The 23,648-nt window shown below is 44.4% G+C and overlaps 2 protein-coding genes across 11 annotated transcripts in view, besides 2 other annotated features; one reads left to right on the top strand and one right to left on the bottom strand.

The window, feature by feature from the left end:
- Positions 1-3,660, top strand: part of CCDC25 (coiled-coil domain containing 25) — a 39,325-nt gene extending 35,665 nt beyond the window's left edge. For all 9 annotated transcript variants that reach the window (NR_130762.2, NR_130761.2, NR_156432.2 and 6 more), the window contains one exon: positions 731-3,660. Coding sequence is in view for 5 of the 9 variants with exons in the window: in NM_001304530.2 (NP_001291459.1) it covers positions 731-788 (58 nt within the window). In the remaining 4 variants the exon portion in view is untranslated. The remainder of the gene's footprint in view (positions 1-730) is intronic.
- SCARA3 (scavenger receptor class A member 3) overlaps positions 2,835-23,648 on the bottom strand; it is a 100,679-nt gene continuing 79,865 nt past the window's right edge. The window contains exon 7 of one of the 2 annotated variants that reach the window (XM_017013536.3): positions 2,835-3,620. In XM_017013536.3, coding sequence (XP_016869025.1) covers positions 3,565-3,620 — 56 coding nt within the window. In that variant the 3' untranslated portion in view covers positions 2,835-3,564. Of the gene's footprint in view, positions 3,621-17,443; positions 18,045-23,648 lie in introns of those variants that run through there. The other variant, XM_017013537.2, reaches the window with a different exon arrangement.
- Positions 6,783-7,323: an enhancer, noted in NCBI's record as "H3K27ac-H3K4me1 hESC enhancer chr8:27587170-27587710 (GRCh37/hg19 assembly coordinates)". NCBI's record gives its function as "activates a minimal SCP1, AML or CMV promoter by ChIP-STARR-seq in naive H9 embryonic stem cells {active_cell/tissue: H9 hESC(naive)}" and the evidence as "EXISTENCE:reporter gene assay evidence [ECO:0000049][PMID:30033119]".
- Positions 9,550-9,789: an enhancer, noted in NCBI's record as "active region_27154". NCBI's record gives its function as "activates an Ori minimal core promoter by ATAC-STARR-seq in GM12878 lymphoblastoid cells {active_cell/tissue: GM12878}" and the evidence as "EXISTENCE:reporter gene assay evidence [ECO:0000049][PMID:35858748]".

The following is a 23,648-nucleotide window of genomic DNA, read 5'->3' as shown; positions in this document are numbered from 1 at the left end:
CAACTGTAGTGTTCAGATTGTGACATTGGCAAGCAAATCAGAATGCACACTCTTAGTGAATGTTGTCCAAAAAGGAGTCAGGGCTCTACCTTTGTGTGTGGCCTTCAGGACTTGCTTGTAAGCCACACAATAAAATCAGTCCCTTTGTGCTGTATACCATTATGCAGGTTTTTTAAATTAAAAAATGTGGCAAACCAACTAAGTTGGTAAACTAGCCTATGTTTGACTTCCTGATGGCCTTTCCTATTAAAAAAGAAGAAGAGATCAAAGCCATGTTGTGAAGTCACAAATCTGTGACAATGTTGAGGCTCAAATTACTGGAACTTAGGCCAGAATCAGTTTGCATATTGGCAGAATTGTTGGCATGAGGACATTGAGGCAGTGTTTGCTTGGTACATTTGTTGAAGGATCTGTCATGTTTTCTTACAGTCACATTTGTTTTGCACTATACTAGGTCAGGTGGGACTTACTGCATTATTTAGAGATCAGTGGTCACTTACTGCTGTGTAATCAGGCCATGTAATGACACCTCACAAAATATAGCTGTTAATTCAGCTATGTCAGGAAACTGACAACTTAAGGCGGAGAAGTGATGAGTCAATTTAGTTATTTTACTTTCTGAACTCAGTGACTGAGATGAGAAGGCAGCTCGCTAATTAAGATAATTGTAAATTTTAAATATTGAATTATTTTCAAGGCTTTTATGTTCTCATTTTTGTGTTTCCTACAGGATGGCAATGATTCAGATGAATTCATGTAAAAGGAGAAAAGGAGAAAAGGACCTTTGAAAGATGTGAATGTAGAGACAATTGCAGACCTTTTGGTTTCATCTGTGTTCTGAAATATAAAATACAACCAAAATTCTACCTTCATCCTACCCAGAAATTATTGATTTTCAAGTTTTAAAAAAATTGTACCTTTTTTGCTGACAGAAAAGGATCAGATATGTATAAAATAGTTGAACTTGACAGCATATAACTTAAAGTGAAAATGTTTTTGCCAGAACATGTCTTGGTACCTTGTGAAAGCAGGCTGCCCTTGTTCTTGAGATAGACTTTAAAATGAACCAGCTCTGAAAAGTACTTCTGCTGCTCTGGTCTATCCCTGAAAACAGATGTCTTGAAACACTTTTCATATTCTTAAAATAATCTTCACTTCTGTTAAGAAGAACATGTTGGTGGGTAATTATGCGAATGTTTCCCTGTCCCTGATTTCTCGATTAGGCGTATGGGTTTTGAAAAAGAGATTTTTCAGAAGATTGTCAGCTTCAGTATTCATGTTCCATCGTGTCATCTGGGTCTGTTAGTGTAGTGACCCTCAGTGCAGTCTGTCCCAGCGTTTACGTCCTTGCTTCCTCTGAGCAGAGGCCTCCATCTTAGTATCAACATATTTAAAGAAATTGATGGTGTTCATCAAGCTGGGGCCTGTGGCAGTTGTTGCCTGAGCACCAAGTAACCCAAGCCACCTATGTGACAACTTCTGGGCCCAGGAGTAATTTCTCAGCATTGAGGGTAAAATAGGATGGAGTGCTCTGTTGATCATTTGGGAGATGTAGGTTACCTGATTTGTGCCTTAGGATGCAGCGTGAAGCAGAAGTCCATATTGCAATTATGATTTTAGAAGGAACTAAGCATTTTACTCACACCCACAGCAGCAAGAATGACCTCCTGCAGCAGATATTCCACCTGTAATAGCACTTTGGAACTGTGGGCAAAACCAAAAGGCTAGTGTTTCCATTTATTCCATGTTGGTGTATGGGGTTGAACTGGAAAATTCCCTGAGGCAAAACTCACTGGCCAAATTTTGAGAGGGTATAGAAAATGACTTTAGAGATGAGTGGTTTTGTGTATGTGTCTGATGATATTCAGTCTGATGTTCCGCAATTTTAAAAGTTATAATAAAATACCATTTTTTTAATCTGGAAGGACATTGATATATGAATTCTTAGAATTTGCTATTAAAAAGGGTAGCCCCCATTCCACAAGCTGGTTTTGAGGGTGATCTTGCTCTAAAAAACCTCATTCATCATAGGCTCAGTCTGACAGGTTCTGTACGGGGCTATCATCTTTCTCCTCCTCTGCTAAATGCCTCTTTCTTCCAGCTGCTCACTGGGTCAAAGGGATGTCCTTTCTCAGATGTATTCTTGATACATCTCAGATGTATTCGTAGCTGTGCTCCTTCCATACTTCCAAGGAGTCCGGCTTCTACAGAATTCCTCTGTACCTCACACTGCAACACATGTAGATAGCGCTTTTGAAAAATACATATATTTTTACTATAGTATGAGAGGTCCTGGGGCTCAAACTTTAAACATTTCCTAACTCAGCTTACACTGGTTTAAAATGTCCAGGTCTCTGCTGAATTCTCTTGTTGAATTCATAGCTCTGTGTTGATTCCTATGCCCCTAACCCTGCAGCCTCTTTGTTTTATTTTTTTCCCCATCTCTGTTGGTCCCAGGGAAAGCAAGGAAATTTTCTTTTGAGGACTTATAGGTTGATTGCCCACAGGTCAAACTGTTGGCATTGAACTCCTCTCATTTCTTGCCATTGGATTGTTTCCTAAACGTTGGATAGGAGAATTCGAAATTGTTGCTATTTTTATGAGCTGTGCCCTTGATCAAATCTGTGCTGTGGGTCTGAGTCACTTTGCCAATGTCGTCTTCAGTTTCAACACTCTGATCAGCATGCAGGCGAGGGGCATGTTTAATTTACTTCACTAACTGCTATATTCTATAGCTTTAGACTTCATATTTCTTATCCACCTTTGTCTAGGCTCACGATCTTTGGGCAAGGGAGCTTTGTCACCGTGGTTGGGCTAGAACAAATATTGAGAAGTTTACCAACACAGATGTTGAGAAGTTTATTGAAAGGCACTGACATTAGCAGAATAAGTGATGGACATTAGTTGAACCCCTTCAGTGTCTATGTGTTTTATTGTATTGTCTTTAACTCGTTCTTGAAGCACAGATTTCAGCGAGCCTTTCAGCTATTCAGTGCCAGCGGTTTTCCCCACTCAGGAAAGATGGTGTGAGCCATACACACAGCAGGATTAGACGGGGAGAGTTTCAGCTGCAGCTTCTAGTTTAAGACCAAAGCCCTTCCTCCCGCTGCTGCATCTGTCTGAGAGGGGAAGCTCTTGTTTTCCAAGCTGGAACCGTTTATGAGGAAAACTGAGCAGGGTGGCAAAATGGAAAAGGAACAATTTTCTAGTTTTTCCTACGCGTGATATTGACGCGTGCTTTTTCTTTGATTTGAGGTACAGCATGTAAATAACAAATTTCCATATTCAAAATGATCATATTAGAGTGACTGAGTGACCTTTTGATTTTGAAGCAGACTAAAATCTGACCAGACCACAATGAAAAGTATAAAATTAGAAACTTAAATTCCAAGCTAAATTTCAGCTTTGACCCACCTAACTCCAGTGAATAGGTGGCAGCTCAGAAACAAGGACAGCACTGCTGCTGCCAGAGCAAGCTCACATCCAGCTGGCACTTCGTGAGAGCTCCTTCCTGCCGGGCACGTGTGAGTTCAGCGTGGGCAAGAGACTTTTATGCACATTCTGTCATTCAAAAGGGAAATGATGCCAACCCCAGATGCAGCATGTCCTGAATGAATGATCTGTAAAATACAATAATAAAAGCTTATAGTTTGAGTAGAACTGTGTGTGTGAGAGAGATTTCACTTCTTATTTTCTCCTGCAAGTTCCAGTCTCACTGATGGGATGTGCCTGCTTGTTTTAGGCAAGTGGGGAGACGGAGGTACTTGGCTCCCCATGTGATGATGCCTGCCCTTCACACAGTCACAGCAGGAGGAGAGGAGCAAATCCTAGTAAAGGGAAGGTCGCCCAAGAATTCCAGGAGGAGGATTGAAGAACCCAGAGCTGAAAGGCCACAATATTTGAACACTAGTACTTGGAGTTTACAGCTTGACCCTCTGCTCTCCCAAAATTCCTGGGGGTCTGCCTGAAATTTTGGCCAAGGCAAGCCTGCAAATGTGAAGACTTCCTGGGCGGTTTCATGGATGACTGTAGGGCTATGGGTTGTGTTCTGTTGATAGATTTTCACCTCTTTTATGATAGAGTTTACACTATTGTGAGAATGCTTGCAGGGAGGTTTTAGGCTCAGAGGAGCCACACAAACATACAAGTTTTTCTCCCAGCTGTAAAAGCATATTTGAATTCTTAAATGTTTACCAGAGCACATTTGGTTTGCATTTCTAGTCAGGGCAATACCTGCATCCATTGGTTTTAACTCCCTTAGCTGCTAGTGTTCTGGGGTTTAAATGTTTAAGTAAATTAGTCTATATAGGGAATGTAGTTTGAATCCAGAATTTTTATACAGAAAAATTTAGAGATGTGTGTATATACTAGGTGACTTAGCAGTGCAGTGAAAATACAAATACCTACCCAATGCCATCTTTTAACCTGGGTTTATCATTAGATTATACATACCTCTTTTTCTGTCTTAAATTGATTGCTTAGTTTTGTCTTTCTGATTTCATTATTGTGTCAATTTTTGGAGGGGCTGTGAGCTTTCTACCTTAGCGGTATGACTGTAGGTCTACACCATAGCCAGATGAAACAAGAAACTGGTCTCTGCCCTTGGCATGTGCTGAGTGGCACCGACCTGGCAAGGAATGGCGGCCAGAGGAAATCATTGCTCACTCTAGAAATCCATGTAGCTTTTCTAGTTCTCAAGCCTGGTGAGTGGGTGTCAATATTTAACGCTGAAAAAAAAACACAAGGAATTCTCCAAAGTCAGTGTTGTGTTTTGTTCCAACATCAATCCCATCTTGTAACCACTGCAGTGAAAATATAAGACAAATGGCCTGACATTTCACATCCTGCCTGGATGAGGCCTTAGCTGCCTGGGCTCCTGCTGGTGTTTTGGTTTCTGCATCAGCAGTTTGCTATCCATAGACAAGGCTAACATTTGCTTATGATTTCAGAAGAGAACCGGGATCTTTCAGGTGGTAAAGGCTGATCTGTCAGACTTGAAGCTTTTTGACCCTTGGTGAAGACACAATGCAGGGTCAGCAGATGAAAACCACAGACTGAAAAAGAGAAAATATTCGGGGTACCGTGCAGTGCCCTGGAACCAGCCTAGCCTTGCCAGAATCGTCTTCCACTGTGAAGCCCTGGTCTTCATGTAATGTCCCTTCCAAACTCTGAAGTTCATATTTTATTTTATGTACTCTGCATCAGTGAGGCTTACATAACATTTCAAAACTGGAATTGCTTTTAGGAGAGTCTTTGGAATCAGCTGGAAGGTCTGAAATAGACAAAGCTTAAATCTGGTTACCAAACAGCATTTTTTTTTTTTTTTTTTTTTTTGAGACAGAGTCTCGCTCTGTTGCCCAGGCTGGAGTGCAATGGCAAGATCTTGGCTCACTGCAACCTCCGTCTCCGAGGCAATTATCCTGCCTCAGCCTCTCAAGTAGCTGGGAATACAGGCGCGCACCATCACTCCTGGCTAATTTTTTTATTTTTAGTAGAGACGGGGTTTTGCCATGTTGGCCAGGCTGGTCTCGAACTCCTGACCTCAGGTGATCCACCTGCCTACATCAACAGCTGAGGCAGAAGAGTGCAGTGGCTCAATCCTATAATCCCAACACTGGGAGGCCGAGGCGGGAGGATTACTTGAACGCAGGAGTTCAAGACCAGCTTGGGCAAGATACTGAGACCCTCTCTCTACAAAATAATAATAATAATATAAAAATTAGCTAGGCATTCCTATAGTCCTAGCTACTCAGGAGGCCAAGGCAGGAGGATTGCTTGAGCCCAGGAGTTTGATTCTGCAGTGAGCTGTGATAGCACCACTGCACTCCAGCCTGGGGGACAGGGAGACCCTGTCTCTATTTAAAAAAAAAAAAAGAAAAAAAAGATAAAAGCGGGTAAACAAAACACACAAATCTCCCCTCATTTTAGCTGCTGCCTCCTCCCTGCAGGCCCTCTGTTAACGCCCCCAAAGCCCAGGAGGTCCTGGAGGAGTGGCCCCCCAGGATCTCCTGGGCTTTGGGATCAGGAAGAATTTTTCTTTTCCACAAAATAATTAATTTTTTAAAAATTTACAGGCATAGGTACTCATGGTGCAGAATCAAAAGGTATAAACGGGAATAGGGTGAAAGTGTTTCCAGTTCCCCTGCTTGGGGCCAATCAGCGTTACCTTTTTAAAAATCAAAGGCAGCCAGGGGCAGTGGACTCATGCCTGTAATCCCAGCACTTTGGGAGGCCAAGAGGGACAGATTGCTTAAGTCCAGGAATTCAAGACCAGCCTGGGCAACGTGGCAAAACCCCATCTCTACAAAAAATACAACAATAAAAAAAGTCCAGGTTGTTGGCAGTCGCCTTATAGTCCCACCTACGCAGGAGGCTGAGGTGGGAGGATTGCTTGAGCCTGGGAGGTCAAGGCTGCAGTGAGCCGTTATCTCACCACTGCACTCCAGCCTGAGCCTGAGTGAGACCCGATTAAAAAAAAAAAAAAAAATCAAAGGCAGAAGCTCTTGTTCTGGACTCAGCTGAGCTTGGGGATTCTGCCTGCTTCTAGGCCTGGCGGAAGCAGTGGCTCAGCTACAGGGAAGGGGGAGGGGCTTCTCTCTGCCTTTGCATCCTGGGGCTTGTAATCCAAGAGAAAATACCGCATTCCCACACCATGGGGCTGAGGGGAAGATAATGAGTTGAGAAATGAAGACCAACAAGAAGATTAGGAGCCACTTGGTGTCCCTACCCTTGAGCGGGCCTCTATTTGGACACAGAGTTACAGGATGAATGGTTTCTTAATAAGCTCCTCTGATCCAATTAAAATCTGAGCTCCATGTAGAATGACCCAAAGAAGAAAGCTGTTTGCTTTCATCCCTGTGCTTGAGGGTGGGGCAGAAGTGGGAGTGTCTGCAGGTGCGAGGGGGTGGGAACAGGACTGGCCCCAGGCACCTCCAGTGCCCCTTTGATCCTCTCCCCACGCCCAGCCTGCCAGAGCTTCCCAGGGCCCTGGCACCTCTTCTTACCCCATCAGAATGGATGGGAGAAGAGCTCTTGTGTGGGTGAGGATATTTAATGCACTGTCTACTGAAGGAAAGGGAGCACACACCATTTCCACTCCTAGACTCTACCTTCCGCGGTGTGCATTTAGGATACAGCTCTGCTCCTTTTATTGTTTATATTTTTAATTTTTTAATTTTTTTAAATTGGAGATGGAGTCTTGCTCTGTCATGGGCTGGAGAGCAGTGGCATGATCTCAGCTCACTGTAACTTTCGCCTCCCGGGTTCACGCGATTCTCCTGCCTCAGGCTCCCGAGTAGTTGGGACTACAGGCGCCCACCAACACGTCTGGCTAATTTTTGTGTTTTTAGTAGAGACGGGGTTTCACCATGTTGGCCAGGCTGGTCTCGAACTCCTGAGCTCAGGCAATCCGCCCGCCTCGGCCTCCCAAAGTGCTGGGATTACAGGGGTGAGCCACTGTGCCTGGCCTCTGCTCCTTTTCTATGTGACTTTAGATGCATGACTTGTCCTCCCTGGGCCTCCATTTGCCCACTGGGAGATGAGGAATAGAGCTAGAGCAGGACTGTACATTCTGGTGCTGCAGGGGCAGGTAACACCTGTGGGAGGGTGAGGAAAGTGGCTCACATCCTGTGAGCTGTGGGGGCTGGGATGAGCCAGAGAGCACATAGCTCTTCCTTTAGGGCAGCTGCTTCAGTTGTGGGGAAATGGAGTTTTATAAGGGAAGTCAATGAGTAAAGTGCATTGAAAGAGCTGAACTTGGTAGGACCGAAAAAAGGAAGTTGCTTGTTTCTCCCACTTTCTTCAACAATGCTCTGAATTCTCTTCCCCGCCCTTAGATGCCATCTTGGATGAACAGATCAGATTCCATGATTTCCTGATCACTTTCCAATACAGGAATTGTTATATATATTTGAGACAGGGTCTTGCTCTGTTGCCTAGGCTGGAGTGCAACGGTGCAATCACAGCTCACTGCAGCCTCAACCTTCTAGACTCAAAATCCTCCTGCTTCAAGCTCTCAAATACCTGGGACTAAAGGCACATGCCACCATGCCTTTACTAACCACCTTTACTAACCACTTAACTAAACAGCACACCCAGCTAAGTTTTTAATTTTGTGTACAGTGGGGCCCCCTCCATGTTGCCCCAGCTGGCCTCGAACTCCCGGGCTCAAGTAATTCTCCCACCTCGGCCTCCCAAAGTGTTGGGATTACAGGCATGAGCCATCCCGCCCAGCCAAGAACTGTTCTGTTTTACAATGACAATTTCCCTTTACATATGAAAAGTTCTTCTCATTTAAATCAGAACTTCAATCTCACATATAATTCAGAACTTCAGCTCACCTCCTGGTTCACATCTGATACTTCACCCTGCCTCTTCCAGAATGCCCCATGGTCCTCCTCTTCCCCAGCGACGGCCCCTCCAGAATGGGAGTGGAGGCTGGAGAAGGTGGGTTTAGGGAGGATTAGCCGCTGGATCCTCTAGGACAGGGGCAGAGGGCAGGAGTCAGAGAAAAAGAGGAGAGTCTTTCATGGCGGGCACTCTTACAACCTGGCTGTTGGCAGCCCCACTGCAGCAGAGGCCCCAGGGCTGGTTCTTTTCCACCCATTTGTGGGTTCTTCAGGCTCGCTGTAAGGATTGTCAGTGCCATAGTTGTCTGATCCTGGAATGCGCTTCCCAACTGGGTCTTTACAATCTCACACCCTTTCCCAGTCACAAAGGGCACACCTGCAGCCACCTCTGAGACTTGAGCCCACTTTGCCAGCAGCCCTCGTCGGTGAAGTCTCAACAATTTAGCTCTCACCTGGAACCCAGCTTTCTGCTATTGCTTCCCTGTGATCGAGGGAAACCACTTGCTAAATGAGGCAAGTCCAGTTTGGCCAGCTGCTACCACTGTCTCCCCAACTTGCTGTTGTGGGTAGCTCTAGCTTGTGTCCTGCCTTAAGAATTATCCAGGTGAGAAGCAGGATCTGTCCACCCCCGGCCCATCGCCAAGTTCCAGAAGGCTCCTCATTCAGCTTGGTGTAGTAGGATTGGAAGAGTGGAGCTCTCCCTTCCTGGGCCCGTGGATTCCCTTCAGTGCAGTCCTTTAAATTGTCACATCTTGTAGAGCTGTTGGGGTGATTGGTTTGGCTCTCTTTCTGTATATCATGCATTGTGTGTCTTACAACCAGAATCCCTTCTTGCTCTCTGCTTTGAGACTTCATGAATACCCGGTAACATAACATTACAAATCTAGATTTTTTAGGTAAAGTTTCCAAATTTTTATATATTGGCTCAAAATTATTTAATATTGTATAGGCCAAACAAGGTTTGTCTGTGGGCTGTCCATTGTCCAGGAGCTATCAGTTTTTAAGGGCTCTGGAGAGCTCTGGCTCGGAGCCCAGTTTAGAAAGAGCTCTGGGTCTTCTCCAGTCCTCATCATCTGTGAATTTCTGATTTTCCTGGATTTAGTATGAGCCACTGGAAGGAACTCTAGGTGACAGAGTATTATCCAGTGTGGATACCACCAGTGTCCTAGAGAAAGAAGAGATGCAGCGAAGGACCAGCAGGTGGCAGGAGAGAGTAAACCCTGGTCTCGGCGCGCATCACGCGGAGGTTCAGCGGTCCTTGAGAAGGCTGGACACAGGAAGTGCTGCACCTCACAAAAAGCTGTGCTTCAAGGGGGGTTTCAAAGCTCTTTGCCTTTGAAATCTTAAAAATGTGGGCGGAAGGTGCCTGAATCTTCTTCTAAACCAATACTACGTGTTGATCTCAGAGGCAAACTGAGCCAGGTGCTGTGGCTCACACCTATAATCCCAGCTACTTGGGAGGCTCAGGTAGGAGGATCATTTGAGCCCAGGAGTTCGAGACCAGCCTGGGCAACATAGGGAGGGCCCATTTCATTTTAAAATAAATGCTGTCGGCTGGGCGCGGTGGCTTACGCCTGTAATCCCAACACTTTGGGATGCCGAGGTGGGGGCAGATAACTGCAGGTCAGGAGTTCAAGACCAGCCTGACCAACATGGTGAGACCTCATCTCTACTAAAAATACAAAAATTAGCCAGGTGTGATGGCACACACCTGTAATCCCAGCTGAGGCAGGAGAATTGCTTGAACCTGGGAGGCAGAGGTTGCAGTGAGGCAAGATCGCACCACTGCACTCCAGCCTGGGTGACAGAGTGAGACCGCATCTCAAAAAATAAATAAATAAATAAATACTGTCAAAGCACAATGCTCATATTTAAAATCAAATCTCTTTGGTTTCAGAATAAACTGTTTTTATTTTTTATTTTTTTTGAGACGGAGTTTTGCTCTTATTGCCCAGGCTAGAGTGCAGTGGCACAATCTCAGCTCACTGCAACCTCCACCTTCCAGTTTCAAGCAATTCTCCTGCCTCAGTCTCCCAAGTCGCTGGGATTACAGGCGCCCGCCACCAAGCCCAGCTAATTTTTTAAATATTTTTAGTAGAGACGGGGTTTCACCGCATTGGTCAGGCTGGTCTCGAACTGCTGACCTTGTGATCCACCCGCCTCGGCTTCCCAAAGTGCTGGGATCACAGGCATGAGCCACTGCGCCTGGCTGTTGTTTTTAAGAGACAATGTCTTGCTCTGTTGCCCAGGCTGGAGAGCAGTGGCGCAATCATAGCTCACTGCAGCCTTGAACTCCTGGGCTCAAACAATCCTCCCACCTCAGCCTCCTGAGTAGCTGTGACCACAGATGCACACCACTACACCCAGCTAATTTTTAAAAATTGTGTAGATGCAGGTCTTGCTATGTCACCCAGGCTGGTCTTGAACTCCTGGGCTCAAGTAATCCTCCTGCCACGGGCTCCCAAAGTGCTTCTATGTTTCCTTTGTGCATGTCATGCACAGGTTTCATAGACTCATAGCCTGTGGAGGTTGGAAGAGACTTTAAGGGTCATCTTAGCTGACCTAACTGTGACCTCTGCGACTCCCTAAACAGAAGACCTAAGCCTGGGCATGAATGCATCCAGAGACGGGAGCTCATGACTCACAGTGACTTCTACCTGCTGCTCTGTCCTCTGGAGCCACACAGTACAAGTTGAATTCATCTTTTCATGTGACAGTTTAAAAAGTTTCAAGACAGCTGTCAGCTGCCACCTGTGACTGCCCCTAAACATCCCATTCTCTGTGATCCAACGAGACAGCAGGAAAAGCAGGCATCTGCGGACAGAGGATGGCTTCTGACATCCCATGGGGCAAGACCCCCCAACTCTTCCCTGTTTGGCTTACTCCCAGGGAAGGAGCAGCTCTTGAACTGTGCATGGTCTCCAGCCATGACTCCAGCCATGAACCCAACCATGATCCCAGCTGGCCTGCACAGGAATAGGGTAGAGACAATTCTCCAAATGTAGCCTAGACACCTGACTCTGACTTACACCACCCATTAAATCCCCTGTCTTTTCTGCACTTTGTATTGATTAGATTATTCTGGTTTTTTTTTTTTTGGAGGGGGCAGTGGTTTGGACCATGGTATAGAACTTTAGATTTATTCCTTAAAATTTCTTTTTACTATATAATGTAACAAACACACAAAAGAGTGTATGAAAAGATATGTTCATTTTCAAGGATAATATAAATATAAATATAAATATAATATAAATATTATATGTTATATTTCTGAGGTTAGGAAATAGAGCAGTACTCACCCATCCTTCCTCAAAGTCCCATTTGCACCCTTTCCTAATCACATGCCTGGCTTCCCCCCAGCTCTCCTGAATTTTGTGATAATCATCTGCTTCTTCTTCATATCTTTTATCTCTGATGTGTATTTCTATAAATAATACACTGTTTAGTTCAACCTGTTTTTGTTTGTTTGTTTGTTTTAGAGACAGGGTCTTTCTCTCTTGCCCAGGCTGGAGTGCAGTGGTGCAATCACAGCTCACTGCAGTCTCAAGCTTCTAGGCTCAAGTGATCCTCCTACCTTGGCCTCCCAGAGTGTTAGGATTACAGGTGTGAGCCACCACCGATTCTTCCTATTTTGAAACTCATTCATGGAATCTTATTGTAATGTTTTTTCTATGACTTGCTACTTTCAGTCAATATTATGTTTTGATGAATTTTCTCTGTCAAAGACATCTAGTTGGAATCTGCCTATTGAGTTATTTATGGTTCTCATTATTTCCTTGAACATAATTCCTTTTACAAATATATGTACATGTTTGTAAATATTCCTTCTATATTGTCACCCCCCAAAATTTGGAAGAATGGGATAGGTCTCAGAATAGTGCCTTCAGCAAACATCCCTTCTGACTGAGGTTAATCCATTACTTAGCACTCTTTGGGCACACTTAACCAGTTTTTTGTTTGGTTTTGTTTTGAGAAGGAGTCTTGCCCTGTCGCCAGGGCTGGAGTGCAATGGTGCGATCTTGGCTCACGGCAACCTCTGCCTCCCGGGTTCAAACGGTTCTCCTGCCTCAGCCTCTCAAGTAGCTGGGATTACAGGCACCTGCCACCACACCAAGCTAATTTTTGTATTTTTAGTAGCGACAGAATTCATGTTGGCCAGGCTGATCTCGAACTCCCGACCTTGTGATCTGCCCGCCTCGGCCTCCCAAAGGGCTGGGATTACAGGCTTGAGCCACTGTGCCCGGCCACACTTGACCAGTTTTAATCCTCCTGATTTTACTTTAATCTGGACTATATTCTCCTACTTGCTCACATGGTTGTCAAAAAACAACCTTGCTTTAGAGCCAGATAAAATATATTTATGGCGTCTTCCTGATCTACCAGTCTAGCAACCCTGCCAAAAATAAAAAATAAAAAAGGAATGAGGCTTTGAGAACTTGTATTGACTCCTAGTAATTGCTGTACTATTTTCTAAATAACATAAAGCAGCCCTTTGGTTTCTATAATTTTGCCTGTGATTGATGGCAAGTCATCAAGCCGAGAGTTGTGGGAATTCACTGTTGACCTCTGGAAAATAAGAACTACCCTTTCCAGGCCAGGTGCAGTGGCTTGCGCCTATAATCCCAGCACTTCGAGAGGCTGAGGCGGGTGGATCACTTGAGGCTATGTGTTCGAGACCAGCCTGGCCAACGTGGTGAAACCCTGTCTCTACTAAAAATACAAAAATTAGCTCGGCATGGTGGCACGTGCCTGTACTCCCAGCTACTCGGGAGGCTGAGGTCGGAGACTCGTTTGAACCTAGGAGGCAGAGGTTGCAGTGAGCTGAGATCGCACCGTTGCACTCCAGCCTGGGAGACAGAGCGAGACTCTGTCTCTGAAACAAACAACAAAAAGAACTGCACTTTTTGATACCTAGTCTTGCTTTCCATGGTTGCTCAAAGTTCACAAATAACACTTGAGAAATCTCCACTGACAAGTTTTCAGTACCTGGGGTGTCCGTCATCTGGGCCAGGAAGCTAGGAGTTGGAGAGGACAAGAGGTATTTTTAGTACAGAGAAGGGATCGACTGGGACAAAGCTCTTAATGATTGGCTTCCAGAACGTGGTAGATGAAGTAATTTGTAAGAAATCAGCAGTCGGAGTGAGATTAAGACTCTAAGGATGAAGGGGAAAGATTGAGACAGTCAGTGCGTGACGAAAAGCTCACTCTTACAAGAAATGAATCAGAAGGTTGCCAAAAGGAAGTGGTAGAGTTAGAACAATTTTGTAGTCGGTCCATTTAGCATGGAATGATAACTTTCTCCACCTGCCAATTCGGAGCCAAGGAACAGGAGAGAAGAAAGAAAACAAGATAGCCCAGGGCTGTGGATGCATCAGCTCAGGGGTGAACTTCAAGGAGTTCAGGTCATTTGTGGGGCAGCATCAGAGGGGCTGAGGGGCTCCAGGCCCCGCAAGAAGGAAATCAAATATATATTTTAAAAATGTATGGACAGGTGAAAATGGGACAAGTAACGTGATTGGGGATCTGTCCAAGAGATAAGTGGGTTATGGAAGGAAAGGGAAGCCACCACCAAGTATGAGACTAAGCAGCAGATGCACAGCGTGGTTGATGTTGGGATGTATTCTGGGGAAGCAATGCTGCCTGCTGCCGAAGAGGGAGCCCAGTGTGCTGGTGGGAGGGAGAGATGGGTTCAGGTGGGGCGGCCATATCACCTGAAGTCAGGGACAAGTGGACCTGGTGCCGGGGTCACTAGGAGAAAAGGGATACCCTGTTGGAGAAAGTAACAGGACCAGATGGTGTGACCTTCAGTGTCAATGGTGGGTAACAGTCTGGGGAAGCAGCAGAAAACAAGGCGTGGTTTCCTACTTGGCCATACAATGTTATGGTGAGGGGAGATGGATAGGAGAAAGCTGCTTTGGTTAAGGAGAAAGGCTAAGGAGAAAAAGGCTTGAAAATGAATGGAAATTTGCAGTGATAAGGCTGGGGATAGTAGGGCTTTCTGACAGCAGCTCAAGAGCCATTAGAGAATGGGTCTGAGGCCAATGGCCAGGGGCAGAGCACAGCAGAGAACTGTGGGTGGCTTTTGGAGAAGACATGTTGTGGATACTATGGATGGAGGCACGAGGGTTTGGAGGTCTGTGTGAGGGCCAGGGGTGATCTTGTTGAAGCCTCACAATCATTCTATGGGGTGAATCTGACCTCTTTTTTTATAGATGCAGAAGCCCAGAGTAGCTGTGAACATGAACCATGAGCTCTCTGTGGGCAAGGCTGCCTGTGTCTTCATGCATCTTCACATCTACAGGAGTACCTGTCCCAAGTGTGGGAGTCTGTGCAAAAGGACAGTTAGTCCATTTGCACAATACTTGCAAGCTTTTCAGGAGCATGCAAAAAATGTATGAGACCTTGGAAAAATGTACTGGCTTCTAGATTCAAATAGAAACCACAATCGAATACATATTTAATTAATGTCTACAAATGTCATGCTACCATATCATCCTTACATCTAGATTTAGCATTCATAAATATTTCATTTCATTTAGAGACAGGATCTCACTCTGTTGCCTAGGCTGGGGCACAGTGATGCTATCATTAACTTACTGCAGCCTTGACCTCCCAGGCTCAAGCAATCCTCCTACTTCAGCTTCTTGAGTAGCTGGGACCACAGGCGCATGCCTCCACTCCTGGCTAATTTTTGTATTTTTTCTTTTTTGTAGCGACGGCATCTCGCTACATTGCCCAGGCTGGTCTCAAACTCCTGTTTGAGAGTTTGGCCAAGTGATCCACCTGCCTTGGCTTCCCGAGGTGCTGGGATTACAGGCAAGAGCCACTGCACCTGGCCTTATTTCATTTTAGACTTGTAAATTGGAAGTGCACTTTGATTACTGAGGAATCATGGTCATTTGTAAACTGGGTTGCTCAAAGCCAAACATCAGCATTATCCCTAAGTTAAGGGTGAGTTCCAGGGTCCTGGGTGTTCCTGGCAAGACCCCCATTCCACCTCAGTCTCACCGACACCATCTAACTTGAGGCCATTGGGATGAATCTCAATTGTCTTTTATCACTCTAAAGGCCAGAACCAACCATTTAAAAACCCTTGTTCATGGACAATAAACCAATCTTGCCTCATTCTTTTGTTCTTTATATTTCTTGCTTTATTTTTATCCATGACATTTATCTACCATACTGTATATATTTTCTATCTATTTGTTGGACTCAACCCCAAATAAGTTCCATAAGACCTGAAATGTTTGTTACTTCTCTGTCCCCAATGCCTAGAACAGTGCCCGGTTCATAGTAGGTACTCAATAATATTGGTTGAGTAAATAAAATTTTTGAAAGCAAAGTCTCTAAAAACTTCAAAATTTTACAGCAAATACAGATATATATGTATATTTATTTAATGCATAATATGAGTAAATTTTATTGCATTTGATGTGAGGTGGAATAGAGCTTCTAAAAAAGTAAGAAGCTTGGATGTTCTTAAAATGGCCTTACTCATGAAATGAGGGAGGTGGGGAGGGAGGGAGGGAAGGAGGGATGGATGGAAGGATGGATAGATGAGTAGGTGAGTAGATGGATAATAGGTGCATGAATGGATGAATTGGCAGATTGGGTGAATAGGTGGGTGAATGGATGGGTGGGTGAATGAATGGATAGATGGATGGATGGATAAATAGGTGGATGGATGAATAGATGAATGAGTGGATAATCAGGTGGATGGATGAATGGTTGGATGACTGAGTGGGTGAATGGATGGGTGAGTGGATAAATAGGTGGATGGATGGATGACTGGATGGATAAATAGAAGGCTGGACGAATGGATAGATGAATGAATGGATGGATGAATAGAGGGGTGGGTGGATAAATACGTGGATGAATGGATGGACGAGTGGATAAATAGGTGAATGGATGGATGGATGCATGGATGGATGAATGGGTGGATGAATGGATGGATGGATGGATAGCTGGATGGATGGATGGATGGATGGATGGATGGATGGATGGATGGAGATAGAAAGGACCTTAGAGATCAGCTGGAACAGAAATATACCCTAATTTGATCAGGTGGTGATGGAGACTCGACTAGAACCAGGATCCTGATTCCTAAGCCAGTACTCTTTCTGAAGCCCCACATGCATAGTGGGTGAAAGATGGGGTAAGAGTCTTAGTTAGCAGAGATGAGTTTATTATGAAACTGATGAAGCTTAAGTGGTAGGGTCACCTGACTTACACAGCCCCTTCCCAGACCAATCTCTAATTTCGTGTTTGTAATGTTACATTACTTAAGAGTCTTCTTAAAGAAAGACTCCTGCCAGAGTATATCAGCTTCAAGCTTCCCAAAATCAGGATCCACCTGATCTTGGGCAGAGACAGAATGGCCTCCCCTCGCCACTCAGACTTGCTCAGCACCCTCCTGTTTCTTACTTGCCAGAGAGGGTGAGGTATCCTTCCTCACCTAGCTTTCGAGCACCCAGCCTTGAAGCACCCCACATCTCCTATAATCTCCATAACCTCTCCAACTGCAGTTATTTTATGGGGAAAAGCCCTCATCCCTCCCCATCCTCTGACCTGGCCGTTTCCTGTTTGTCCTTGAAGACTTAGCTCCAACATCTTCAGGAAGTTCTCCCTGATCAGCTGCAGGGTGAGTCATGGGCTTTTTCTCTGTGTTCCTTGGCTTTCTGTAATTCCTGTACATTAGCACTTCTCAGAGTAAATTATAATCAATGAGTCATTCCCAGGGCTCTAGAGCTGCATCTTTTCTATTTTAGACCCCAAGACATTTTGGTGACAGAGGTCTCAAAGAAGTGAGGAGGATTGGGTCTTTAAAGACAGTTGGGAAGGGAGACAATTAGTTTGCCAATTACTACATCTGCTTCTTCAATTGCAAAAAAATCAACAGCATAGGGGAATAAATAATAGGATGTTTACCAAGCACCTCTCCTGTGTCAGAGGCAGTGTTGTTTAGTCTTTTCGACTCCTTTGCTATTGTTAGAATTGAATGGATGAGAACTCCGATACCCTGAAAACTAAGATGGCTTGGTCAAGGTCACACAGCCTAGACCTTACCTTCATTCCTTTTTTTTTTTTTTTAACTTTTATTTTGAATTCAGGAGTACAAGTGTAGGTTTGTTACATAGGTAAACTTGTCATAGAAGTTTGTTGTACAGATTATTTTATCACCCAGGTATTAAGCCATTAACCCATTAGTTATTTTTCCTGATCCTCTCCCTCCTCCCACTCTTCACCCTCTGAAAGTCCCCAGTGTGTGTTGTTCCCTTCTATGCGTCCACGTGTTCTCATTATTTAGCTCCTACTTACATGTGAGAACATGCAGTATTTGGTTTTCTGCTCCTGTGTTAGTTTGCTAAGGATAATGGCCTCCAGCTCCATCCATGTCCCTGCAAAGGACATCATCTCATTCTTTTTTGTGTCTGTGTAATATTCCATTCTTACCTTCATTCTGACAAAGGATAATCTTCATTCTGCCACCTTCTCTCTCCTTGTGTGAATAGGACCAAGCTTGCTGCTATTTCTCTTTTGTCAAAACCTCCACGTTCTTAAAGTCTCCCAAAATAGAAGAGCCTGCATTTCTTCTTGCAGGCAGAGTAGCTTGTTTTTGCATTGGAATGCCTGCTAAAGTCTAAGATTCTAGACATATCCTCTATTTACGTCTTGAGACTGTTGGATTTCCCGGAGCTTAAGTGATTTAGAGGGAAAGAAAGTGATCATTGTTTTTTCACTTTCAAAAGAAGGACACAGGAATTACATTCTGTGTTTCTGAAATTAGTTATAAGAATACAGACACATACATTACCTTCAAGAAGGAGAGGGAGGATAAACGCATGCAAGTTTTGCTTTTATGCAGTCATCTGGGTATTTTGAAATTCTGATTAGTCCTAATGGAAATACATAGAGCATTCACCCCTGTTGTGTCTTCAGCTGGTAAAGCTACATCTCCATATCTGATATTGCATCTTTTGTGGCCTGAATGAATTATTCCACTGTTTTTAGATAGTTTTCCCAATAAATACTTCCCCATCCCCAAAAAGCCTGCAGTTTTTCCATTGGTCCAGCTTGCATTCTAAAAACCATGGAGCTGGAGTGCGAGGTCTTCACACTTCTGGGCACTGGGGGTCTGTGAAGTTTTGAGAGTCACAGGACTCCCAAATTCATTTGAAACCCATTCTTTGCCCAGGAAGGGTCTTCACTGCTGGCCTAATGTTTTGGGGACTGTTTTTTTCAATCCAAATAAATTAGGCAAATGTTCACGAGACACCTGATCATTTCAGGCTTTGCCTGAGCACCCAGTTAATAACTTTCCTCAAAGACATCCTCGGGTTGCTGGGGGCAGATACATCCACAGCAGTCCAGTCACCAGAGGACAGAGTGCTCTGCGAGCACAGAGGAGGGGGCAATTCTCTGGCCTGGGCCAGGGAGTTTTCCACAGAGAAGGTAGCTTTTGATCTGGATTTGAAGGATTGCTCAGAACTCACCAGGTTGTAGAGAAGCATTCTGGGCAGAGTCTGGCAGAGAACAGAGGCCACAGGATGGAAAAGCATGAAATGAGATAAGGCCATGCGTGTGCGGACTGCTCAGCACACCCTGGAGTACACAGTAAGCATCCCTAAATGTTTGGGGGTAATAATACCACCTGGGAGTCTGGGGAGGTAGGATTGAGAGGATGCGGTTGGAAATGAGAACAACAAGGAAGGTTTCAGACAGACAGTCAGACAGACTAACTGACTTAACGCCGTGCTAAGGCATTAGGAAGAGGAGGGGCATGGTAAGAGCCATGTTTTATACTTCTTAAAATTGGTTTCTTTCTTTTTCTTCTTCTTTTTTTGAGATGGAGTCTCGCTCTGTCTCCCAGGCTGGAGTGCAGTGGTGCGATCTTGTATCTCTGTAACCTCTGTCTCCCGGGTTCAAGCGATTATCCTGCCTCAGCCTCCCGAGTAGCTGGGACTACAGGCACGTGCCACCACACCTGACTAATTTTTGTATTTTTAGTAGAGACAGAGTTAAGCCATGTTGGCCAGTTTGGTCTTGAACCCGCGACCTCAAGTAATCTGCCCGCTGCAGCCTCCCAAAGTGCTGGGATTACAGGTGGGGGCCACTGAGCCTGGTCTATTTTTTGAATAGTTAATACAATCATATAGTTCAAAATAAAAATTACATGGAAAGACGTACATTGAGAAGTCTGGGCCCCATGCCTGACTCCTTCCATTCTCCCACTCTGCTGCTGTAGGTTACCACTTGTATTATGTTGTTCGTTGGTGTCGTTCTCATGTTTATTGATATCAGCATCAACATCTATAGCTATACCCACATCTATAGCTATACCCACATCTGTATCTGTATCTAGCTATGAAATTTTATTGTGGAGCTATTTTAATCTTCCAGGAAATTTGCAAAGAACTTCACCTAGAGACTGCATTTCTGTTTCACCAATTGTCCTAATGAGATTATAGCAAAGTACCCAGTCAGGTTCCATGTCACACCCAGCTGTCCCATTTCTCTAGTCTCTTTCACTCTGGAGCAGGTCCTTGGGGATTCCTTGAATTTCAGGCCCTTGGCATTTTTTTTTAGGATTACACCCCAGTCTTTGTAGAAGATCCTGAAATTTAGATTCTTGCACTATTTTCTGGCGATTAGACCCAGATTATGCATTTCTTTGGCAGGGAAATTACAAAGGTGATGCCGTGTTCTTCTTACCATGCCCTACGAGGTTTCACATGATGTGGATTTGTTCCATTCCTGGCGGTGTTCGTTTTAATCAATTAAGAAGATGTCTGCCAGATTTCTCCACTGTAAATTTCTCTATCCCATTTTGTACTGAAGTGCTATTTGGCATGGTGATACTTTGAGACTATGTTATTATTCTTATTTCTTATCCCACTTTCACGTACTAGTTTTAGCATCCATTGATTTTTCTGCCTGAATTAATTAATACTACGATGACTGTAAAGTGATGTCTTTTTAACTTTACCATTCTGTCTACATTTATTAGTTGGCATTTTATTATCAGAAATAACTTTTTCCATGTATTTGCTTGTTTCTTTACTTAGATTAGATTTCCTATTTCATCCAATGAATTTTTGATGCTCAAATTGTTCCAGATTTGAGTAGCAGGAGCCCCTTGAAGCTAACTTTTATGTCCTTTCAACATGTTCCCATCTTTCTTTGAGCATTTCCTTACTTTCTGGTTTAAAAGAAAAAGTTCCAGGCTCATCTTGTACTTCCCCTGCCCAGCTCTGGGACCAGTCATTTCTTCATAGATTCCTGGTTCTTTATATATATATATATAAAGAGATATTTATATAGAGAGATCTTGCTGTCACCCAGCCTGGAGTACAATGGCGAAATCACAGCTCACTGCAGCCTCGACTTCCTGGGCTCAAGTGATCCTCCCGCCTCAGCCTCCCAAGTAGCTGGGACTACTGGCATGCACCACCACACCCAGCTAATTAAAAACTTTTTTTTTTCTTGTAGACACTGGGTCTTGCTCTGTTACTCAGGCTGGTCTTGAACTCCTGGTCCCAAGTGATCCTCCTGCCTCAGCCTCTCAAAGTTTTGGGATTACAGGCATGAGCCACTGCACCCAGCCTAAGAGTGATGTCAAATGACCAAGATGTCAGGGCCAGGCATGCTTATTTCTACTGGAGTGTTGCTGCTCTCAGGCCCTCTCAGTAGAGATACACTCATATACCCCTTTGCATTTCTATTTTTCTATGTGTCTATGTTTCTTTCTATCTATCTATCTATGTATCTATCTATCTATCTATCTATCTATCTATCTATCTATCATCTATCTATCTATCTATATCTGTCATCTATCTATCCATCATCTATCTCTGCCTGTGTCTGTCTACTATCTGTCTGTCTGACTGTGTTTGTCTGTCTGTGTCTGTCTCTACCTTTCTGTCTGCCTGTGTCTATCAATCATCTATCTGTCAGTCTGTCTGTTCCTGTCTGTGTCTATCTGTCTGTGTGTGTCTATCTATCTATCTATCTATCTATCTATCTATCTATCTATCTATCATCTATCTAGGTGCGAAGTGGGAAGGCTGGGCTTCCCAGCATGGGTGTCAGAGCCTGAGTAAGGTAAGGAGAGTTCCTGTGTGGAGAAGTAGCTGCTGCGGAGTGCTGGACCATGGGTGGGGCGGGGAGGGTATCCATGTGGAGCATTGGTGGTGGCAGCCCAGTGCAAGGTATCAGAGCCCTGGTAGGGTGAGTAGTGGGAGCCTCATAGGATGGGAAGTGGCAGCAGCTATGGGAGATTGAGTGGGAGTTGGTCCAATGAGTATATATATTAAGGAAAATAAAAGCCAGATTAATGTAAAGATGAAATTAATGAGGTGGGCATTCTAGGCTTTTGGACTTAGAGCCTTCAATAAAAAACCTGAGCTGGGCAGGGTGGCTGATGCCTGTAATCCCAACACTTTGGGAGGCCAAGATGGGAGGATTGTTTCAGGCCGGGAGTTTGACATCAGCCTGAACACCATAGAGAGATCTCATCTGTACAAAAAATAAAAACAAAAAATTTAGCCAGGCATGGTGGCTTGTGTCTATAGTCCCAGCTACTCAGGAGGCTCAGGTGTGAGGATCGCTTGAGCCCAGGAGTTTGAGGCTGCAGTGAGCCATGATCATGCCACTGCACTCCAGACTGGGCAACAGAGCAAGATCCTGTCTCAAAGAAAGAAGGAAAGAAAGGAAGAAAAAGAAACTTAAAGAGTGGTTGTGAGGGTCAAATATCTGAGGTAACATATACAAAAGAGCCTGTATGTATACATGATATGTAAATGTAAAGCAATACTGTTTTTTATTTTCAATTCCTTCTCCTGAAGAGGATTTTTCTTGGCTCCAAGCATTGGAGAAAAGTATTACAAATACAGAAAGGGAGAAAACAGAATGGGTCCTGTGGTATTGGACAGGAAGTGAACTCATGGTTTCTTATAAATAGATATAGATATGGAAATCAAAATAAATATAAATATAGATGGGTGTATGTGTGTATTTTTATCTCCCCTAGCTGTGTCCTTTGAGAAATCCTGAGAACACAGACACTTTATAAAGCCATAAGCCCAGCTAGCATCCTGTGTTAGGCCACTCTTGTGTGGCTATAAAGAAATACCTGAGGCCCGGCGTGGTGGCTCACAACTGTAATCCCAGCACTTTGGGAGGCCGAGGCGGGTGGATCACAAGGTCAGGAGTTCAAGACTAGCCTGCCCAAGATGGTGAAATCCCATCTCTACTAAAAATACAAAAGTTAGCAGGGCGTGGTGGCGGGCACCTGTAATCCCAGCTACTTGGGAGGCTGAGGCAGAGAATTGCTTGAACCAGGGAGGCGGAGGTTGCAGTGAGCTAAGATTGCGCCACTGCACCCCAGCCTAGGAGACAGAGCAAGACTCCATCTCAAAAAAAAAAAAAAAAAAAAGGAATACCTGAGACTGGGTAATTTCTAAAGGAAAGAGGTTTAATTGGCTCATTGTCCTGCAGGTTGTACAGGAAGCATGGCACTGGCATCTCCTTCTGGGGAGGAGGCCTCAGGAAGCTTCTAATCATGGCAGAAGGTGAAAGGGAAGCAGGTACATCACGTGGTAAAAGCGGGAGCAAGAGAGAGTGAAGAGGGGAAGTGCCACACACTTTTAAATGACTGGATCTCACAAGAGCTCGCAATGGCAAAGACAGCACCAAGCCATGAGGGAGCTGCCCCCATGACCCCAACAGCTCCCACCAGGCCCTACCTCCAGCAATGGGGCTTAAAATTCAATGCAAGATTTGGGCAGGGACAAATATCCAAACTCTGTCACATCCTGATTGTGGTTTCTAAATCCCATTCTTCACAAAAAGGAACTGGTTTCCTTGGAGAAATGGCTGATTTCACAGCTGGGGCAGGCAAAGTACAAGATGAGCCTGGAATATCTTTTTGTAGCAGCAGAAAGTAAGGAAGTGTCCAGGAACAATGGGGACAACTCAGAGAGACACAGAACCTGGTCTGAAGGGGCCTCTGATGACCACATCTGAGATAATCTGAGCATCAAAGCAAATAAGGATCCCAATGGATTATAATCCATTTGATAAAATAGGGAACCATGAGTACATACCGATGAAAATATGTAAATGAACAGCTTGAAAGTTTGACAAAGAATAGGGTATTTACACAATTTCAAAGTACATCTCCGTGAAACGCTTATTGATTACAAGAGGAAAGAGTTACTCTACAAAGGAAACACCTGGCAGTCACCACCTTAATCATTTGTAATCTAACAAATGAACTTGTGTGTCACCTAATAAGATGCA

Source organism: Homo sapiens, chromosome 8 (assembly GCF_000001405.40).
Source record: "Homo sapiens chromosome 8, GRCh38.p14 Primary Assembly".
Lineage (NCBI taxonomy): Eukaryota > Metazoa > Chordata > Mammalia > Primates > Hominidae > Homo > Homo sapiens.
Note: the sequence above shows the minus strand (reverse complement) of the source record. Positions and strands in the feature narration are given on the sequence as shown.